Source organism: Homo sapiens, chromosome 18, assembly GCF_000001405.40.
Source record: "Homo sapiens chromosome 18, GRCh38.p14 Primary Assembly".
Taxonomy (NCBI): domain Eukaryota; kingdom Metazoa; phylum Chordata; class Mammalia; order Primates; family Hominidae; genus Homo; species Homo sapiens.
The window spans coordinates 35,281,786-35,290,247 of NC_000018.10; the positions used below are offsets into that span (position 1 = coordinate 35,281,786).

Consider the following 8,462-nt stretch of genomic DNA (forward strand, 5'->3'; position numbering starts at 1 on the left):
TTGCTATAAGACATATTAGCTCCTGTGGAAGTTTCTAATCCAGATGCATCCCACAGGTTCCCAATGTAAGTCTCATCTCCTTGCATCTGAGCTGTCAACTTGGAATGGGAAGGCCAAAAAAAAAAAAAAACCCTGCATGCTTGTGTAAAATACTGTGAGTACCACTACCACCGAAGAGGGGTAGGTGCTGCCTACTGGTCAGCTGTGGCTTCTGTCCTATCCTTCTAAGTTAATCTGATGCCAAGGGTGATCTGCAGTAGTCTTGAAGGTCTAAAAGTCTAGTTGAATTCAAGAAGAACATTCTGGTGGGCAATGATATACACCCAGCTTCTTTTGGAAACTACTTGAAAATTTATGTTTCTTCCTTCTCTCATCTTATCATCTAACACAATATGTGTTAATAGTTAACTTTATATGTCAGTATTTAAGTTATAGGATATGAAAGAAGGAGGGTTATCATCTGGGAGCAGAATGAATGCCATTCATGGACCAACAAAAAGACTATTTTCCTCTTTTGGGAAATGGTTAGCATGTTAATAGTTATGTGATAGTAGTGTTATGTAAGGTGAAAGCACAACTTCATTGTTATCATAATTTGGAGAATTAAAGTATGGCTTAAAGAAACATGTATGGTACTAAGTTGACAAGGGGCAGACCATGATGCTTTTATAATGTGTCATCTTGCTTAAAGTGCACCAGTTTTCCTAGAATTATTTATTTTATGTTTACAGTTTGGGCGGGCCAAAAAGGCAATTTTTGGGAGATGTGTAATGTGGAAAGGAAATAGTAGCCATTTGTAGTTCACATATGTTGTTGCTGACTGGTGACTCACTTTGTTGACTCATTTTGTAGCAGCTTGGCCTGCAACTACTCTACCATCCTCTAGATCCTCCTTCAGCTTCTCCAACTCCTGGCCTATGTATGTGTGTTTATGACAAACAGCCCCAGCTTCTGAAGGATACCCTCACCACCAAGGTCAAAGGCAACAAGAACTAACATGGATTTCAGTCCATTTTCATGAGGTTCAAGTTTGTACTTGTGACTTCCAGCCTGACCTTGACTTCTCCCACTTTACTTCCATCTTCCTTTCTGACTACTCTGCCAACATCAAATTCTAGCATCAGACACAACAGCATTATAAGAGTGCCTAACTAGCTCTCATAATTGTGTAAGCCAATTCTCTTTAACAAATCCATATGTACATATACATATATTCAATTACTTGTTTTGTGTCTCTGGTTGAACACTGACTGATATATCAGGGATAAAGAAGGTCATTTCATTATGAAAAAGGAGTCAATCAAGAGGCATAACAGGCTGGGCATGGTAGGCCACACCTGAAATCCCAGCACTTTGGAAGGCTGAGGCAGGCGGATCACCTGAAGTCAGGAGTTTGAGACCAGCCTGGTCAACATGGTGAGACCCCGTCTCTACTAAAAAAAAAAAAATACAAAAATTAGATAGATGTGGTGGCACGCACCTGTAGCCCCAGCTACACCAGAAGCTGAGGCACAAGAATAGCTTGAACCCAGGAGGTGGAGGTTGCAATGAGATGAGATCATGCCACTGTGTCACAGGATACTTGGGGTGTTGCTTTTCTAGTCAGAAACCTCTGTGGCCAGTGGTGCCTTTGCCTGAGTTTTGCTTGGGCCCACTGGGATCGTTCTGCCCACTCAGCCTGGCAGGCTGTGCTTGGCTAATGCTACCAGCCTGTATCTCGCCCCTGCCAAGGGTGAGCCAGGCGTGAAGTAGCAAGGGATGTGTGAGCGAAAGAGTGTGGGGTCTGGCCACTGCACACAGTCAGGCACGCTGGCTGCTGCAGCAGGGTGGGCAGCTCCAGGTGCCAGTACGGGCCCTGGCTCACTGCAAGGCTGTGACTGGACTAAGTACACCACAGTGGTGCCCAGAAGCTTGGAGACTCCAGGAAATGCAGGGCCCCAACGGGAGTCACAATCCTGGCTCAGGGAGCTTCCTGGTCTGGGCTTCCTGAAGGGCCACAGCTCTTCTCTCCTCTTTGCCTGCAATGTGGTGAGCAAGGGGCATGTTTCAGCTCTGTTTGTGTTACAGCTCTTTCAGCCCCACCATTCAGCAGGTCTCAAGTTCTTGTCCTGCATCCAGATAGAATGAGGTATGTAGACAAGTGGAGGCTGAGCAAAGTGAAGAGGAGCTTTACTGAGAAGGAGGAGCTTTACTGAGCAACAGAATAGCTCAGAGGAGACCCTGGAGTGGGTAGCTCCTCTCTGCAGGCAGCTTGTCCCATCATCGCTGCAGCTGTCAGCAAAGAGGAGGCCCTGAAGTGGGTAGCTCCTCTCTGCAGGTTGGTCCTCCTGTTGTCTCTGCAGCTCTCAGCAGAAAAGAGGCCCTGGAGTAGGTAGCTCCTCTCTGCTGGCAGGTCTTCTCCCCCAGTCTGGCTGAGTCCAGGGAATTTTATGGGCCTCAGAGAGGAAGAAGTGCATGCTGATTGGTCCATTGGTGGCCATGGGCAGGTCCAAGAAAAAGCACCACCAGTTCCCCCTCCAGTCAGGGGGACTGGTGGCCTGGCCATTAGGCTTCAGGCCTTCTGGGGACCCGCCCCTTTCTGCCTCAGAGCATGTCGCCTCCTACTGCTTTCTATGGTGCCCAGGCTGTTCGTGGGGACAAGCACCTGCAGGCAAATGCTGAACTGCCTTCAGCCTTCCCTCAGCCTCCCTTCTATGTTTGTCAGCACCCAAAGTCTGGAGGGGGCTGAAGCAGCAGAGGAATGGCCTGTCAGCACTGCCTCAAGTATGCGCACAACTGGCTGGGCTGCAACAGCACCCTGGCTCGGCCCCAACCTTGCTCCTAGATCAGAGCAGTCACCAGGAGCAGGGAGAGGCCAGGCAGCAGAAGCAGATACCTCCAAGCCTGCTGAGGTGGGGGTGCCTTCCCAGGCCCCTAGAGTGCAGAGATATCCAGGTTGGTCCGCAGCCACAACCTGGGTGGCTACAGCTGCACAAAGGAGGTGGGGGATGCAGGAAGGGCTCATGCCTGCTCCAGCACTCCTGCCTGCTTTGGCACTCCTGCCTGCTCCCAGCCTCCAAGAACACGGTCTGTAGCAAGGACTTGGGTGGCTGCAGTTGCACCCAGGAGAGCAGGGCTCCTGCCTGCTCCTGGTCTCCAAGAACACAGGGAGGCTCAGCCAGCAGCCATGACTTGGGCAGCTGCAGCTATGCCTGGGGAGCTCCCACCCGCCAACTTGGAAGGAGCTGGGCTCCTGCTTGTCCCCGCTCCCTCTGGCTCTGTGAAGCTCACAGCATGGGCAGAGCCTCCTGGCTGCAGCCAGCATCTTGGCAGTGGCCACTCCAGATGGTCCAGATGGCCCACTGTTGCCATCAACAACACTCCAGCCTGGGCAACAGAGTGAGAGACTCCATCTCAAAAAAAGAGAAAAAGGAAAAGGAATAACAATCCTAAACATTTATGCAAATTGTGAGCTTCAAAATACATAAAATTAAAACTGATAGAATCACAAGGAGAATAGACAAAACCACAATTATTGACAGAGAATTCAATACTCATCTTTCAATAATTACTTTTAAAATTAGTAGAAAATCAGCAAAGTATATAGTAAACTTCAGTAATACCATTAACCAACTAACAATAATCAAATAGTCAACCCAACAGCAGCAGAATATATTAATATATCCTTCTCAAATGTGCATGGAACATTTATGAAGACAGACCATGTTTTGGGCCATTAATGAGTCTCAATAGATTTTAAAGGATTCAAGTCATACACAGTATGTTCTTTGACTACAATAAAATTAAATTAGAAATAAATATCAGAAAAATCTCTAGAAACCCCCCAAATATTTAGAAACTGAAATAATCCAAGTTCAAAGTATTCTGAACTGAATGAAAATAAAAAGACAACACATCAGAATTTGTGAGATGCTGCTAAGGCAGTACTTAGGGGAAAATTTATAGCACCAAATTTCTATAACACAAAATAAGAAATATTACAAATCAGAGGCCTCAACTTCCACTTAAAGTAACCAGAAAAAAAAAAGCAAGTTAAACCCAAAGCAAGGAGAAAAAAGGAAATAATAAGGAACAGAGTGGACATTAATAGACCAGAAAATGAAAGACAATTTTTAAATAAATGAAAAGCTGGTTCTCTGTAAAGATAAAAATGACAAAGCTCTGGCCTATCCGACAAGGGGAAATGGGAGAAGATACAAATTACTAATAGCAAGAATGAAAGAGGTAACATCACTGCAGATTCAACAGATACAAAAAGGACAAAGTAATATTATAAACAACTTTATGCCAACTTATACAAAATTGGCTGATTCTTTAAATGATACAAAATACTAAAGCTTACCCTATAAGAAATATATAACCTGAATAGCACCATATCTATTAAAGAAACTGAATTTGTAATTTAAAACCTTCCCACAAAAAAACTCTAGGTCCAGATAGGTTCACTGTGAATTCTGCCAAATATTTAAGGAAGAAATAATACCAATTCTGTACAAACTCTTCAACAATACTGAAGACAATGGGATGCTTTTTGAATCATTCTTTGAGGCCCACGTTACCTTGATCCCAAAACTAGACAACGACATTACAAGAAAACTATAGGCCAATATTCTTCATGAAAAATCCAACAATATATAAAAAGGATAATACATCACAGTGAAGCAGGGTTTTTTACAGGAATGCAGGTTTGGTTTAATGTTCAAAAATCAATCATTGTAAATCACCATATTAACAAACTGTCTTCTCAAAAGATACAGAAAAGGCAATTGACAAAATCCATCCTACATTCCTGATATAAATTCTCACCAAACTAGAATTAGAAAAAAACTTCCTCAGTCTGTTAAAGGGTACCAATAAAAAAAACCACAGCTAACATCATGCTTAACAGAGAAAGGATGCTTAAGATTAAAAAAAAAGACAAAGATCTTCACTTAAGATTGGAAAAAAGACAAAGATTTCCCCTTTCTTCATTTCTACCGAACACTGATATACATAAAGATCAATTTTACTTCTTCTTTTCCAATCTGAATGCCTTTCTCCACCTCCCTTTGCCTGCCTTACTGCGCTGAAAATAAGAAAGGCATCCAGATTGGAAAGGAAGGAGTAAAACTGATCTCATATGTAGAATATCTGATAGAATCTACAAAAACAGCTACTAGAACTAATAAATGAATTTAACAAAGTTGCAAGATACAAGATTAATATACAAAAATCAATTGTATTTCTCTATTATATTACCAACAAACAATCTGAAATTAAAGGAAAAATACAATAGCATCAAAATATATTAAATACTTAGGAATAGATCTGTCAAAAGTTATGAAAGATCTGTAAAATATTAAAAAGAACTATAAAATATTGGTGAGAGATATTAAGGAAGACCTAAATAAATTGAGAAAAATATTGTGTTCATGGATCAGATGACTCAATATTGCTTTAACATGTCAATTCTCCCCATATTGATCTACAGATTCAATCCAATCCCAATCAAAATCTCAGATAGCTTCTTTGTAGAAGTTGACAAACTGATTCAGAAATTGATATGGAAATGCAATGGGCTTAGAATAACCAAAACAACAAAATTAGAGGTCTCACACTACCTGATTTCAAGCCTTATTATAAAGCTAGAGTAATTAAGTGTGGTGTTGGACTAAAGAGACAAGTAGATCAATGAAAAAATAGAGAGGCCAGAAATAGACCCACACATATATGGATAACTGATTTTACAAAGCTTAAAGGAAACTCAGAGGAGAAAGAAATGGTACAGAACAACTGAATATCCACATACCAAAAAAAAAAAAAAAAAAAAATTAACTTTACCCTAAATCTCAGAGTTGTATGGGTAGAAACAAATTAATTCCAGATGGATCAGAGACCAAAATGTAAAACCTAAAAATCCTGGAGGAAATCTTGGTGAACTTATTTTAGGCAAAGATTTCTCAAATATCATACAAAAAGCATGATCCATAAAAGAGCCAATTGATAAACTGTGCTTCATCAAAACTTAAAACTGATGCTATTCAAAAAATATTAACAGAAAGAAAACTGAAGGCACAATATATTTGCAAAGCATATATCTTCTTCCTCTTCTTTTTTTTTTTTTTTGCAACAGGGTCCTGCTCTGTTGCCCAGGCTGGAGTACCGTGGCATGATCACCACCCACTGCAAGCTCCACCTTCCAGGCTCAAGCAATCCTCCCACCTCAGCCTCCCAAGTAGCTGGGACCACAGGCACACACCACCACATCCGACAATTTTTTGTATTCTGGGTGGAGAAAGGGTGTCACCGCGTTGCCCAGGCTGGTCTCCAGCTCCTAGACTCAAGCAATCCACCCACCTTGGCCTACAAAAAGTGCAGGAATTACACGCTTGGGCCATGGCACCTGGCCACAAAGCATATATTTGACAAAAGACTAGTGTCCAGAATGGACGAAAGATTTGTACAGATACTTCACCAAAGAATATATACAGATGGCATATAAGCACATTACAAAATGCTAAATATTATTAGTCAGTATGGAAATGCAAATTGAAACCACAGTGAGATACACAGTGAGTTGGTAAGGATGTGGAGGAACCGGAACTCTCATGTACTCATGTTAGGAATGCAAAATGATACAGCCACTCTGAAAAGTAGTGTGGGTTTTTTTAAACATTAAATGTACATCTACCATGAGAGAGGGGGAAAAAAGCATATGTCCATATAAAGACGTGTGTACATGAATGTTCTCAGCTTTACTTGTAACAGTAAAAACCTGGAATAACCCAAATGCCCATGAACTGGTGATTGGATAAACAAACTGTGGTATATACATACAATGGAATATTATTCAGCAACAAAAATTAACTATTGATACACACAGCAATAAAGATAAATCTCAAAATAAAAGCTTAGTGAAACAACTCTGACAAAAACAAGGACATTCTGTATGATTCCATTTAAATAAATATCTAGAAAATGCAAACTAATCTCTAGTAACAGCTGACCAGTGGAGGGGGCATTGGGAGAGAGGCTTACCAACGGGCAGGAGGAAACTTTTGGGGTTTAGATGTAATAAACATATTATTTTGATTGCAGTGATAGTTCCACAGCTGTATTCATTTAACAAGCCTTATCAAATTATATCCTTTAAATATTTGCTGTTTATGTCAGTTATACCTCAATAAAGCTGTTTTGTTTTGTTTTGTTTTGTTTTGTTTTGAGACAAAGTCTCGCTTTGTCACCCAGGCTGGAGTGCAGTGGCGCAATCTCGGCTCACTGCAACCTCCGCCTCCTGGGTTCATGGGTTCACGCGATTCTCCTGACTCGGCCTCCCAAGTAGCTGGGATTAAAGGCGCACACCACCATGCCCAGCTAATTTTTGTATTTGTAGTAGAGACAGGGTTTCACCTTGTTGGCCAGGCTGGTCTCCAACTCCTGATCTCAGGTGATCCACCTGCCTCAACCTCCCAAAGTTTTAGGATTACAGGCCTAAGCTGCGCCTGGCCAAAAAGAAAGCTGTTTTTTTAAAACTATCTGCACTCCCTACTTGGGAGGGTTGGACTCAAGTTCCCACATCTCTTTCCTCTTACGGTTATATTAAGGGCTTAGTCATACATCCCTAAATTTCATATATCCCAACAGGGACTTGGGCTGGGACAGGAAGCCCTCTTCCTCCACCTCAACTACCACTTAGCCACCCACCATTTTCTCAAACCTCTTCCTTTCCCCACCGGACAGCTTAAACCAAGTCACACGTCTCATTGGTCTCAACAGAAATGAGGTCCCAACTCCTCATTTCCCAAGATATTTCCATGAACACAGCAATATCCTTTCCTACCCTGATTACCCCGCACCCTCCATTTCGGGTCCTTCTCACCCTGATCAGTGAGAATTGTTCTAGCAAGCAAACCTTAAATAGACCTCGTACCCTTTCTAGATTGCAAAGTAGATAAAAATCCAACTTTCCGTTAATTCAGGGATTAATTACTGAGCATCACTTATTTCTTGGGCAGTGGTTCTCAAAATGTGGTCCCAGGACCAACAGCTTCAGGATCACCTGAGAACCTGGGCTGCCACCGCCCCCTCCCCCACTACTAAATCAGCAACTCCGGAGTTGTGGGGCAGAAGTCAGTATTTTAACAAGGCCTCCAGGTGATTCTGATGCGCGCTACTCTTCTGGGGGTGTGAAAAACCAGAGAGGACAGGAAGAAAGTTAGAATTAAAGCATACCTACGAATCAGATAAGCGATAGGGGGAGGGGTGGTTATTTAAAAAACGATAACTAATTAAGAACTTGTATGTAGTAAGAAAACCTACCCTGCCCCAGAGAGCTTTCCCGAAAGATAATGGATTCCGACATTCACCTCAAGAACCGGCAGACAGAGCAGCAAAGGATCTGTCGCTGGCCAAGCAGGTCCCTGGCTAAGGCACTGCTAGGGACAGCTCGCGGCGGTTCGGGGGTTAATTCTCGGCAGCCCTCC

At 42.4% G+C, this 8,462-nt stretch overlaps 1 protein-coding gene across 7 annotated transcripts in view; it reads right to left on the reverse strand.

Moving 5' to 3' along the window:
* Positions 1 to 8,444, reverse strand: part of ZSCAN30 (zinc finger and SCAN domain containing 30) — a 39,168-nt gene extending 30,724 nt beyond the window's left edge. For 4 of the 7 annotated variants that reach the window (NM_001112734.4, NM_001166012.3, XM_047437266.1 and 1 more), the window contains exon 1: positions 8,299 to 8,444. Coding sequence is in view for 2 of the 7 variants with exons in the window: in XM_047437266.1 (XP_047293222.1) it covers positions 8,299 to 8,341 (43 nt within the window). In the remaining 5 variants the exon portion in view is untranslated. The remainder of the gene's footprint in view (positions 1 to 8,298) is intronic. The other 3 variants (NM_001288711.2, XM_005258183.5, XM_047437267.1) reach the window with 1 other exon arrangement.